This window comes from Homo sapiens, chromosome 1, assembly GCF_000001405.40.
Source record: "Homo sapiens chromosome 1, GRCh38.p14 Primary Assembly".
Taxonomy (NCBI): domain Eukaryota; kingdom Metazoa; phylum Chordata; class Mammalia; order Primates; family Hominidae; genus Homo; species Homo sapiens.
This window is the reverse complement of record NC_000001.11, coordinates 173,925,513-173,939,250: the sequence shown is the minus strand read 5'-3', so window position 1 is coordinate 173,939,250 and position 13,738 is coordinate 173,925,513. Positions and strand designations below refer to the sequence as shown.

General features: G+C 38.0%; 1 protein-coding gene across 20 annotated transcripts in view; it reads left to right on the top strand.

The window, feature by feature from the left end:
• The window catches only part of RC3H1 (ring finger and CCCH-type domains 1), a 91,274-nt gene extending 83,107 nt beyond the window's left edge, over nucleotides 1–8,167 (top strand). For 11 of the 20 annotated variants that reach the window (XM_047447096.1, XM_047447104.1, XM_047447093.1 and 8 more), the window contains one exon: nucleotides 377–8,167. In XM_047447096.1, coding sequence (XP_047303052.1) covers nucleotides 377–530 — 154 coding nt within the window. In that variant the 3' untranslated portion in view covers nucleotides 531–8,167. The remainder of the gene's footprint in view (nucleotides 1–376) is intronic. The other 9 variants (XM_047447095.1, XM_047447091.1, XM_047447106.1 and 6 more) reach the window with 1 other exon arrangement.
• The last annotated feature ends 5,571 nt before the right edge of the window (nucleotides 8,168–13,738 follow it).

The following is a 13,738-nucleotide window of genomic DNA, read 5'->3' as shown; positions in this document are numbered from 1 at the left end:
TAGCAAACCTGCTAAATCAGGGATAAGTACTCTTCTTAAAGGCCAGGTAGTAAGTATTTTAAGATACGGGCCTTACAGTTTTTGTCGCAATTCTCAACTCTGCTCTGTGGTTTGAAAGCAGTGGATAATACGTTAAACAAATGACCAGGCTATATTCCAATAAAACTTTAGTTACAAAAATATGCACCTGAAAAAAAAAATACGCACCTGGCTAGCTTTAGTTTGCCAACTGTGTGCTAAAACATGGATAAGGGGCTGTAGATTAAAATGTGGAAGCCATTTATATATTTTCAATCATGCTAAATTATATCCCCTGTTGATTTTATTGTAGTAATCATTTTTCTCTCTCTCCTTTTTCAAAATTTTAAAATGTCAGCAGTGATGTACCAAATGGATCAGCCTTGACACAAGAGAATATCAGCCTCCTATCAAACAAGACCAGCTCTCTGAACCTGTCAGAGGACCCTGAGGGAGGAGGGGATAATAATGACTCCCAGAGATCAGGAGTTACTCCCAGTTCTGCTCCTTAAAATATGAGGAGTCCTACTTTTATCTTCTGCTCCTAATCAGTTTGTCGGGCATAGGGGTAGGAGAACGCATAACTTCTAAACTTTTTCTCTTAAGAGCGGTCAGAGAAATCCAGGAAATTCACCAGAGGCAATGTGCACAAACACCACTACTAAAAACAAACCCTGCACATAGTTCACATTAATGCATTTTTTTAATTTAAAGAAAAAGAAAATTAGCAGTATCTGCAAGCAATTCAGATTAAATTTGTTTTTGTTCTGTGAATGAACTTTATTTTAATAACTTTGGACGCCTTGGATCCAGGGCTTTAAAAAAAAAAGATATTATATATACACTCTGTTTGATTAATTGTATGATCTTAATGAAGTAGGTTTTCTTGTATTTTGGTATTACATACCCAGTGTATAATTTGTATAATTCCTCACCCCCAATCCTTATCAATTCTCACCACCCCATAAACTTAAAACAGACCAAAAATGTCAGCTTTCAGAGAATTCTGTGGTGCTTGAGAAACAGACAGTACTAGACTGAGTTATTAGAAAATGTGCAGCAAACCAACTTTTCCCAGAGCTGTTATTTGGAATTCTTTATCCCTTTCTAGATCACTAGCTTCATTGGATACGTATATTTTTCTTGACATTGAAGCTTTTTGTTTGTTTGGGAGGGTTTTATTTCTTGTTTTTATTTTCAACTTTTCAAATAGAATTACCAATTTTGAAGTCCTCATTTTCATATTAAGGATCATTTGCATTCTCTTAATATAATCAGAAAGCTGATTCAGTGTTTAATTAGATTTAAATGTTGATCAAGAATTAACTGTAACTTACTAGCACTGAAAATACATGTTTGGTGTTTCGCCTGCGTTCAGCTCATGGTTGGAAATTTGAAGCAGTGCTTTTCAAATTAAACTTTTGCTGACATCATAGGATGCTAAAAAACAAGGACAATCAACTATGTTTTAAAACTGCAACATTTGATTTGAACTTAAAATGAATAGAGCCACATTATTTTAATGGATGTTTTGTTTTACTTGTGAACTGATTGAGTCTTAAGGATAGTTTATGAATTGATCACTTGTTGCTCAGAATCATTAGTATAAGTAGGTAGGAAATAGTTTGAAGTCATTTTTCATAGACTTAACTGTCCAATGTTGCAAATGTTTCTTCATGAAAATATTGAAAAGAGTAAGGTTTTTTTTTTTTTTAATTCTGCTGCACATATTCTGATGCCATGTGTCTGTGCTTAATTAACTAAGACCCTATAAAACGTGTTTAGTGGGGACTGTTTGATATAGTTGCCCTCTCCATTCCTCTATTTGCCTGATTTTTTTCAGTTTCCCTTTCTGTATTTTACTACTAAATTAGAAAGCACTGGTTATGTAATAAGTTACTACATTGCTTTGGTTGAGTAAAAACAAGAGTTTATATTTTTCTTGTTTCTTATTTTCTTAACCCTTAACTCCTGCTGAGGTCATAACAACCTCAGTCTAAGCTCTGTGTCCATCATACTGTTAACTTAAACAAATGGGTGGTGGGGGTGGGAAGGGTAATACAGTCCTGCCATTGCCTACCAGTAGGAGAGTCCAAACAGAACACTCTTTTGAGTAGCAATTATTTAATTTGCCCAGTCAAGGCACCGTGTTTATATACTATTTCACATTGAATTTGATTATGCCCTACAGACCTGGCTGGTCAAGGATTTGATATACACATATTGGCTTGGGATTCGAGCTTTCTTTTTTATTTAAATAAAAATTTATATATATATTATATATATACATATATACATAGCTATATCTGTATATATATTGGGTATGTTTTAAGGATTTTTTCGCATGAGCGCAGCTGTTGCGATAAATTGACCGATTGGGAGGTGGTAGAAGCACTGAATGAAGGTGAGGCTTTTTTTTTTTCCAGTTTTCTTATACATTTGTCTTCTTTTTTTAAAAAAAAAAAAAAAAATATATATATATATATATATATATATATATATGTATGCTTTTTCTTTTTTTTTTGGCTTTTGTTTGCTTTTTGACTTTTACTTAAAACCCTTTTACATTTCCACTTTAAATGCCTATTGTTTATTGGGAGAAGGAAAGAAACTTTTGTATGTCTGACAGAGTCCCAAGATTTTTCATTTCTCTGCATAACAGTAAAAGGCAACATTATTGGCCTCCAACCTTCTTTTTTTTTTTTTTTTTTTTTTTTTGGAGAGGGAGTCTGCTTCTGTTGCCCAGGCTGGAGTGCAGTGGGTTGATCTCGGCTCGCTACAACCTCCACCTCCCGGGTTCAAGCGATTCTCCTGCCTCAGCCTCCTGAGTAGCTGGGACTACAGGCACGCGCCACCACGTCCAGCTAATTTTTGTACTACAACCTTCTTATAAGCAGATTTGGACTGATCTTCTCCTTTGGGTATGTCAGATCATCCTAAATTTTAGAAGCAGTTGATTCACTTTGGAATTCAGAATGATTCTTGTATTAGAAGATAATTTGTGGGTATTAATTTTTGTTTAAGTTTAAAATAAAAGTAAAGATTCATTTTGGATATCAGTTGAAACCCCTTAGTAACTCAGTTTCTGTTATTCTTGTTCTCATTTCCTTTAAATACACTTGTTCTTGGCTTTTGCCATTTTGATTCTGTGAAGTAGGCAGGAGCAGGGATTAATTTATACAGTATTCCTGTTCTGAACAAAACCAGAAAAGTCACTGTATAAACTTGACTTAAAATAGTATCTTTCTCTTTTCATGTATTTTCATTTGGGGGAAAAAAAATCTCTTTAATTGTAACCTGAATTCAAGCTGTACCCCTCCATGGTCCTACACTCTAGAGCTAATCTGGTTGGGCAGAAAGGCAGAAGGATGGTATATTGTCCCATTGTGCCTATAATGTATTTTAAATTGGTCATTCCACCTTACCTAATGGAAATTCTTGCAGCTTTCCTAGTGCTCATCAGCGGTTTTAGGAATTCACTAACACCCCCAAAATTTGTTTTTTGTTTTTTGCTTTTTTTCCTTTTCCTTTTCTCTGTGATATCATGAGCCTGTAAGGACAAATGGCATATTTGGGCATAACTGCTTGACTCTGTAACTACTTTTTTAAAATCAAAATTGAAAAGGTATTAATTGCTTCTGGCTTTTTAATTTTTTTTTTTAGAGACAAAGATGAAACCAGATAGGAAATACAGTTTTTATGTTTTCTACTTACTAAAATATTAGTTTCTTCTAAATATTACTTTATTTGTATTTCACTAAATTCCAAAGCAAAAATCAGATATCTGAGATGAACAATTTTGAATGGGTTAAGGTAGGAGTAATAAGCATTGTGTTCACTCATACATAGGTGAGGGAATTTTATTTATAGCGAGAAATATAAAAGTATTTTGACTTACTCTTTTTTCAAGGAGTCGCTAGGAAAGGGTAGAAGAACTGAGAATAAGACATCTAGATTCCATTTCTGGTTTATATGTAGCTCTTTTGCCTAATTTATATATAATTTTGTCATAAGATAAGTCCAGTAACTGTCCTGTCTTAGATAACGTACAGAGGCTGAAGTGACCAAAGATCCATTCCTTATTACTTTTCTAATTAAAAGAAGAGTTAGCTAGATTTCTAGTAGTAGTATTCTAGATATTGATAAGACATTATTCCTAATGCCAACTACAAATATTCAACTACTCAGAATGTATTTAAAAAATTGTTTGGTACAGCATTAATGTTGGTGATTCCTTTCTCCCATCTTATTTCCCTTCCCTTCTATTCTTTCCCATGTATTTCTTTTGCCTAAAAGAATATTGGTATGATTCTCATTTGCTACTTTGAGTATATAACTCCATCAGACTTTCCAGAGTTCTTCAGGGATGGAGCTCAAAGTTTACATTTTTCCATATATGTCTTTTTTTTTCTTGACCTTTTTCCACCCTGTAATTTCCCCTTGACTTACCCACTGCCCTCCCCAATCTGCAACAGTGACAGTTTGCTGCCTCAAAACAGAGCATTCAAATGAATTCGCTTAGCCAATAACTTCTGTGAAGTTGCCTTTTCTAATGGTGTTATTACTCAGTGATGCACAAATGTGGTATTTGCCCTACTGGTAGGCAAACAAAGGTCTGGTTAAGAATGGTAACCTGCTGTTTTCTTTAAAGGAGAGCCAAAGACTTGTGCTTTACTCTGTTTTGGTTTTGGGGGAAGTAGTAGCCATTTTGATCATGAAACCTTTTAGTATTTGTGAGTTGATTGTACTGTGTAAGTAGATTTATCTAAAGTTAACTGTTAAAGTTAGCTAGCCTTATAAAATGTAAAAGTAATGAAAATTCATCAGTTTCTCTAAGCCAGTGAATGTCGTCTTTTGTAATATTGTGTATAAGCATTTGTGCCCACCCCAGCTTCTGCTATCACTGTGGTCAAGTCATGGGTCTGAGTAAAAGAATTCTTGAGTATGTGACTGGTGAGAAATAACTAACTATAGTCAGTACATGTACAGATTGTTAAAATTCAAGACAAAATACTTTCACTAAAAAAAAGGATTCGTCTCAGTAAAGAAGTATTCAGTTGCTGTCACTTACATACAAATGGTGGTGGGTAGCAGTCTCACCATTTTTCTACTCTCTTTTTGCTCGTTTTAAATAATTGAGTAAAGGTTTTATTTGTAAAATCTATCTGTAAAAAGCACCTGTAACGATTTATATGTCATTGAAAGGAATGGCCCAGTTACTTTTTAGGAGAGATTAATAACCTACCTGGAAATTAACTGCAGTGTTTACTTAGATTTTTTCCCCCTAATAAGAGTCTAAGTGTGTTAAATTTTTAACTGATGATATGGTTACAGTGTTGCAAGGTGATCTCTTCCCCTGAAAAATCTGCCTATCCTTTTAAGAAAAATTAGACCTACTAAACTAAAGCAAATTTTACTTTCATCATTAGCACCTAAACAAGCAAGCAGTCTACTACTGTCATCATTTTACCTGAGTGCCCATTTTGCTGATCCACATTCATACCTTTCTACCTTGGACAGCTATGATTTTTATATTTATTTGTTGCTTCAGCTCAGGTTTATGAAATTTTCCTGCTGAAATGACTTATTGGGAGTTGTAGGTTGATTATAGTTACTATTAAACATTTTCTCAATTTAGCTTTTCTGAGCCACTTCAAGAAGAAAGCTGTTTTTGTCAAAAGGTACTATTAATTGTAGCAAGTAAATCTTAAGATTTGAATTTTTAAGATTTTATTTCTGTGTTCACTAAAGATCTTTCCACAAGTAATAGATTATAATTGATAAGTAATACTAGCTATAGTGTTAATAAAGAGTAAGACTATCACCACCAGGAATAAGTAACACCTTTTAATAATAAATCTATTCCTAATAGGTATGTTTTCAATACTGCACTGAACAAAGTGGGTAAAGAGCCCTTTGAAATCTTATTGTAATAAAGGGACTTACCTCACCACTGGAATCCTTGTTTTCAGAGCCTCTGGATTTTCAGCCAAACACTGAATTTCTCCTAAACTTTATCCCTGAAACATCCCTAGAGAACGAACTTTATTTTCACAAGAAAATAAGGCACAATAAGGGGGAAGAACTTAAACCTCAACATAATATCGTGTCCAAAAATGTGTATTTAGAAAAATAAAATCCTGTGGAGTTTGTTATCCTAATGTTTATTTTATACTAGATAAGGTGACTTGTTTTCTTGTATTGAGGTCTTACTGTTTCAGATTTGTTTTTGTTTCTGTTCTAACTCTAAGCAGACAGAGCTCACAAGTCTTTGGCATCCATTTTAGGTTGTACACTCAGAGTCATCTTATAACTGGAAACTGTCAGGTGGTCCCCCACCCCAGTGAGTGTATGAAAGAGTCAAGAAAAAGATTGGAAACAAACTATTGGGTGAATAATTGGTTGCTCTATTATTATTATTATTATTATTTGCCTTTTTTTAATCACCATTTATTTGTGTAATCTTTCTCCATTGATTGGCTGTCATTCTTATAATATCTGAACTACCCCATAAAATAATTCTCTGACTTAAAGGCATTTAGCTTTTGCTTATCGTTTTTACATCCTCTATTCAACTAAGACACTGTCTTGAGAGTTATTTTTTCCAGATGGATCGTTGGCCTAAATTTTCACACTTCTCCCCTGTTCATCCTTTTTCCTCTTCCCTGCTTCCTGGGAATAAAAGGAACTTTTTTAAAAAAATTAATTAGTCCACAGGTCTCATTATCTTTCTTTATGATTAATCTATGACTTTTTGGTACAAGAACAATGGAAAAAGTGAATTAAGGTAATGAACAAAACCTTTCACCCACTTAAACATTTTCCAGTTTTGAGATTCCTCTTCGTGTTTGTGGTGTCTTCCCCTTGTTACCCCTTCTGCCCTTTTTCTCTGACTATGGTAATTTGGTCTTTAGGCTCATATCAGTCTCCCCGAGACATTCTGCAGTCATTATCACCTTTTTGGGTGGATTTTATTTTGTTTTATTTTGTTTTTTTTAAAAAAATAACTTTTTAACATTGGTGCATATTTGCTTGGGATAGAGCTTGTGTAATTTACCAATCGTATTGATTGTAAGTGATTGTGCCCTGCAGAGGTATATTTAACAAGACAAAAATAATCTTGGTTAATAAAGGAGCCCATGAGATTTGAGTCAGGTTGTAAGTGAAATCACTTACACTTTTGGATAGAATTTATACTCCTGCTCTTATAAATCAGTGGTAGACTTACCATTTTTTAAAGTTTTCTTGCATTTTTTTGTTTTTTTATTGCCACAGCTCCCTATTCTTTCTTGCCTGCCTCCACCCCCCTGTTCAGGAAAAAAAAAAATTGAGCCTTAAAGTGACAGCTGATTTTTTAATTGCTGAATTTTGTGAAATTTTACTTTTTCCAAGTGTTTCCAACTTTAAAAAGAGAAGTGAAGACAAATAGGTTGGAATGGTGAAGACAAATGGATTGGAATTTCACAGGCTGTGAATAATTCCTTAGGATCTGGCAAACCGTGAAGTCTTATTTGAAGACCTTATCTCCTGAGAGTTCTTTTGGAGTAGGAAAAAGAACCCTATTTGAAATAGACCGTTTTTCTCTTGTTTTTAATCTGTTTAATATTTCTGATTTTTAAGCAGCTTTCAAAACAAGTGTGGTGGAAAAAAAGAAATAGTAGTAGGAAGATGTTTAGGGCAGCAGAACTCTGGGTCTAAATAAGTACATGTTCCCACTTGTTGCCGATTTTTGAGAGTACTAGGGCCATCTTTCTCAATTTTGTATTATTTGTGTGCATGTTTATATCAAAGATGCCCATTTTGTTAAAATGCTATTTCCTTTATTACCTTGGAAACTGACTCAGCCTCATGTTGCTCCTAATTAGTGTTTAAGGCTCCCATGAGTTGCAGATAAAATGATTTATTTTAACAAGTAGAAGGAGGTGATTCACCTTTTGGATTGTAAATATATGAAAATGTCTACAAGGTCTTTATCTGCTTTCTGTCAGCATTTATATTAAATGATAAATTAATGAGGAACGTGTGTATTTTGTAAATGAGTGTGTGCCATCTTATTCTAATCTTGAGATTACTTTCTTACACGTTTTTAATGGAGGGGGCTTTTTTAGGTGAAAAATAAAGAAATGGCTAATCTGCATGAGCAAACACATACTTGGAGTAGCCAATTTTGTGTGGACATCACAGGAATTAGTCCAATCTTAAATAAGCTACAGTCATATTCCTTCATTTGTCACACAGTGATTGCACATTAGGAGTGAGGGTAGTGGTTCTGAGATACTAGCATCAATTCAATGAGATTCAATGGCTAACATCCAGTGTCTCGGTTTTTATGGCGCTTCTGAAAATTAGGACCATCTTTATGCTTAAGTGAAAAGGACTTGTCATGGTAACTTCCTGATGCAAAATGTTTTTTTGTCTTTCCATTTTTTTTTTTTTTTTTTGAGATGGTGTCTTGCTCTGTTGTCCAGGCTGGAGTGCAGGGGCACAATCTCAGCTCACTGCAGCCTCTGCCTCCCCAGTTCAAGCAATTCTCTTGCCTCAGCCTCCCAAGTAGCTGAGAATATAGGCCTGCGCCACCATGCCCAGCTAATTTTTACATTTTTAGTAGAGATGGGGTTTCACCATGTTGGCCAGGCTGGTCTCAAACTCCTGATGTCAAGCGATCTGCCCGCCTCAGCCTCCCAAAGTGCTGGGATTACAGGCATGAGCCACTATGCCCAGCCTTGTCTTCCCATTCTTGCTGACTTCTGATTGTCCTGAAATCCCCACCCATTAGTCATTCCTCGAAGTTAGTGGATATAAGTAAGTTTGTCTAATAGAGACCATACGTTAGTCAACACCTCAATGGCATGAAGAAGAAAAGGGAGGAGGTTGGGTGTGGTGGCTCGTGTGTGTAGTCCCAGCTACTCAGGAGGCTGAGGCGGGAGGATTGCTAAAGTCCAGGAGATCAAAGCTACAATGAGCTATGATGCTTGATCGCACCACTACACCAGCCTGGGCAATGGAATGAGACTCTATTATTCTAGATTAAAAGAAATGTAAGAAGTACAAAAATCAAATGCAGCATAGGTGATTTTAGCAAACCAAATACACAAAAGACTTTTGTATACAGGAAAATTTGATTAAGTATTGGGCATTAGATGATACCAAGGAATGGCATTTTCGTTCATTGTGAAACATGATTATGTAAAAAATCCATTTTTTTAATAAAGATGGATAACACAATAGCTGCAATTTCCTTTAAAGTAGGAACTAAATATTTTTAAAAAGTAAATAATGCAGCCACGCACGGTGGCTCACACCTTGTAATCCCAGCACTTTGGGAGGCCGAGGCAGGCAGATCACCTGAGGCCAGGAGTTTGAGACCAGCCTGGCCAACATGATGAAACCCCATCTCTACTAAAAAAAAAAAAAAAAAAAAAAAAAAATTAGCCGGGCATGGTGGTGGCCACCTGTAATCCCAGCTGCTCGGGAGGCTGAGGCAGGAAAATCGCTTGAACTCGGGAGGTAGAAGTTGCGGTGAGCTAACACCACTGCACCCCAGCCTGGGCAACAAAGAGTGAAACTCCGTCTCCAAAAAAAAAAAAAATCAATAATGCACATTACCAGTGAAGGTTATTTACTTCTCCTACCAACAATTAGCGATTAGGTGTCCATTGGTATATCTGACCTCAAGGGAAGGGACCATAGTAAAGAAAGCTTAGGGTATGAGGAGTGGTAACTGCTGCAGCCATCCCTGAATGATTATAAATTCTGGACTGGGAATTACAAAACTAGCCCTGTCATCTTAATCACCTACCTAGGCCTACCCTGCTCACAAGCAATAGGGTACATTCTGACCTCTTGGGCTGAAACAAAAATACCAATAGAAATTTGGTTTTTATGCCCATTAGTGCTTCAATCCCAATAACCAGCTAATCTTCAGTGATCAATTAGTAAACCCCTTTGCCCTCCAGCAAGATGACTCATTCAGTAAATGGCTGCCACCCTTATTTGGAACACCTACCATATAAAAAGTGGACTTGTCAAATACCCACTGAATACCCATTGAGTATTTACTAAAGAAATGTATTGAGTACTTCCCATATGCACAGCCCGGTAGAGGACAAAGAGTTAGAAAATACTGCCTCCACCCGCAATGAACTTTAATTCTGGAACTTGACAAAACACTAAACAGAATTACCAAAGAATTTTTCAACCATACTTGTCCTCAGAAGAGCAAGGAGCAGTGAGATGGTATCCAAGGAAGACTTAACCTTGCCTGGCTGGTCAGGCTTTCCTGAGGAAGTTGCATTGAAGATAAAACTTGAAAAATCATGGGGGAGCGGGAGAAAGGTGTGTGGGAGACAAGAGGCTTGGTCAGAGAAAATAGAACGTGTGAATTCTCTAAGGGAAGAAAGAGCCTGAGGTGTGGAAACTGGAAGGAGTTCATTAAGACTAGAGGAAAAGGAGTGACACAGTGGCTTGAGATGCACAGCCGGATAGATCATGGAAGCCTGTGGACCGTGCTTAAGTGTTTGGATTTTATTCTGAAAGTAAACGGAATGCAAAGAAGGGTAGTAAGCAGTGGAATGAAGGGACCAGATTTGTGCTTCTTGGGAGCTGATCATAATCCCAAAAGACAACCCCAAATATTGAAATTCTGAAAGACAAAAGTTCCAAAGTTATAATTTTGGGGAAAAAAATGTAAATTCTTTAAAAGGCATTTACTTTTTTTTTTTTTTCCTCGAGACGGAGCTTGGCTCTTTCACCCAGGCTGGAGTGCAGTATTGTGATCTCGGCTCACTGCAACCTCCACCTCCCGGGTTCAAGCAGTTTTCCTGCCTCAGCCTCCCGGAGCACGTGCCATCACCCCCGGCTAATTTTTGTATTTTTAGTAGAGACGGGGTTTCACCATGTTGGCCAGGATGCTCTCAATCTCTTGACCTCGTGATCCGCCCGCCTCGGCCTCCCAACGTGCTGGGATTACAGGCGTGAGCCACCGCACCTGGCCCTATTTAAATTTTTAAAAGGAGATTTAGGGCCAGGCGCGGTGGCGCACGCCTAAAATCCCAGCACCTTGGGAGGCTGAGGCGGGCGGATCACCTGAGGTCAGGAGTTTGAGACCAGCCTGGCCAACTTGGCGAAACCCCATCTCTACTAAAAATACAAAATTAGCCGGGCATAGTGGCACATTCCTGTAGTCCTGGCTACTCAGGAGGCTGAGGCAGGAGAATCGCTTGACTCGGGAGGCAGAGGTTGCAGTGAGCCGAGATCTTGCCATTGCACTCCAGCCTGGGCGACAGAGCGAGACTCCATCTCAAAAAAAAAAATAATAAAAGATTTATTTGAGAAACAGGAAAACACGACAGCCTGGGCAACAATAAGACCTGTGTCTACTAAACCATAGTGTGGTGCATCCCTGTAGTCCCAGCCACTCAGGTGGCTGAGGCGAGAGGATCACTTGAGCCCAGGAAATAGAAACTGCAGTGAGCTATGATCACATCGTCACACCACTGCACACCAGCCTGGGCGACAGACTGAGACCCTGTCTCAAAAAGAAAAAAAAAAAAAAAGACAATACTTCATAGGCCAATTTACATAATAAAATAGGCAATGATACATTTGTATTTAACAAACACGGATATAATAACAGTCACATGGATGTAACAGTTAAGAGCAGACAAACCATATTTATAAGTAGGTCAAAAAGCAAAATGTATAAATGCATATTACTGTGGTTGGTTATTGTACCCAGCATTATAATCGCAGTCATATGAAATATAGTGGCAGACAACTCCAAGAGTTGATGAAATCAATCAAAAACTACAATGAGCTGAGTGCAGTTTTACACTGCTGAGTGCAGAATTACATCAGTAATTCCAGCACTTTGAGAAGCTGAGGCAGCTGGATCACTTGAGCCTAGGAGTTAGAGACCAGTGTGGCAACATAAGGAGACCTCGTCTCTACAAAAAATAGAAAAATTAGCTGGTCATGATGATTTGTGCCTATAGTCCCAGCTACTGGGGAGGCTGACACAGGAGGATTGCTTAAGCCCAGGAGGTTGAGGCTACAGTGAGCCATGATTTTGCCACTGCACTCCAGTCTGGATGACAGAGTGAGACCCTGCTTCAAACACACACACACACACAATGGGTCACCACTGCATATACAGTCGTCCCAAAACCTGAGATCTTGAGAAATTTTACCTTTCATAAATACAGACATACAAAAAAACCCCTTCATTTATTGAAGAAGTTTAAACATTTTTACATTGAGAACCAGGGAAGTGACAGCCTCAAGACCTGGCGAGTCTCTGGTTTAAGTCCTGGAGTCCAAAGGCCTGTGAGCTTGAAGTTCTTTTTTTTTTTTTTTTTTTTTTTTTTGAGACGGAATCTCGGTCTGTCACCAGGCTGGACTGCAGTGGTGCGATCTCGGCTCACTGCAACCTCGGACTCCTGGGGTCAAGCAATTCTCCTGCTTCAGCCTTCTGAGTAGCTGGGACGAGAGGCGCACACCACCACGCCCAGCTAATTTTTGTATTTTTTTTTTTTTTTAGCAGAGATGGGGTTTCAGCATGTTGGCCAGGATAGTCTAAATCTCTTGATACTGTGATCCGCCCCCCTCGGCCTCCCAAAGTGCTGGGATTACAGGTGTGAGCCACCGTGCCCCACTGAGCTTGAAGTTCTAATGTCCAAGGCAGCAGAAGAAAAGTCTGTCACGGCTCTCAGAGATTTCTCCACCTAGTCCACTCAGACTCACACACAAATGTCCTTGGGAAACACCCTCCCAGACACATCCAAAATAATGCTTTATCAGGTTTCTAGGTATCCCTTTATCCAGTCAAGGTGATACCTAAATTAAGTCCACAAGTCTACCTATTGTCAGCCTGGCACCAGTGATGCATCTCCTTAACCCATACTTAATTTCCTGCAGCCTCAACCTCCCAGGCTCAAGTAATCCTCCTACCTCAGCCTCCTGAAGTAGCTGGGACTACAGGCATGCGCCACCCGCCTGGCTACTTTTTTGTTCACAGTGACGGTGTTTGGCCATGTTGGCCAGGCTGGTCTCGAACTCCTGAGCTCAAGTGATCCGACTGCCTCGGCCACCCAAAGCGCTGGGATTACAGGCGTGAGCCACCGCACCCAGCCTCCCTTTGCTGTTTCTCTTTCACCACCTACAACTTCCCAAACTAATATAAAAGCAACAAGCTTTGACCCCACACAACTCTCTCTTGCTCAGCCTCCAAAGAATAGCCTTGTCCAATGTTTCTGTTCATACAAGGTGTCAATTCTTCTGGATGAGTAAGCATTTTTCACCTTACTTGATAATCTAAACTTTCTATTTGGGAGGAATTTAAAGTGCTATATTTCCTGTTATTAAGTTAGCAGAACTACTCTGGACCTGGATTTTTTCAAACATGAATGTTTATCAAGTACTTGGTACATTCAACAGGACATGTTCAATAAATATTTGCTGTTTTGATTTGGTTTCCCTGAAGCCAAAACTGAACTTTCTAACAGGAGGATTTGGGCAAATTCCAGTGAGATGCCTTGAGAGCCTCAGCTAAATGCTGCTAAATGATAATGTAGGATTTATTTTGGTAAGTTTAATTTCACCTTAATTAAAATGTCATGTTCACCTAGTAAACTGGGAACCCAAGGGAGTTGGAGACTGCTTTTTGTGCTAAATGTTTTGCCAAATTTCCATGGAAGGGTTAAGCTTTGAGTTATTCAGTAAC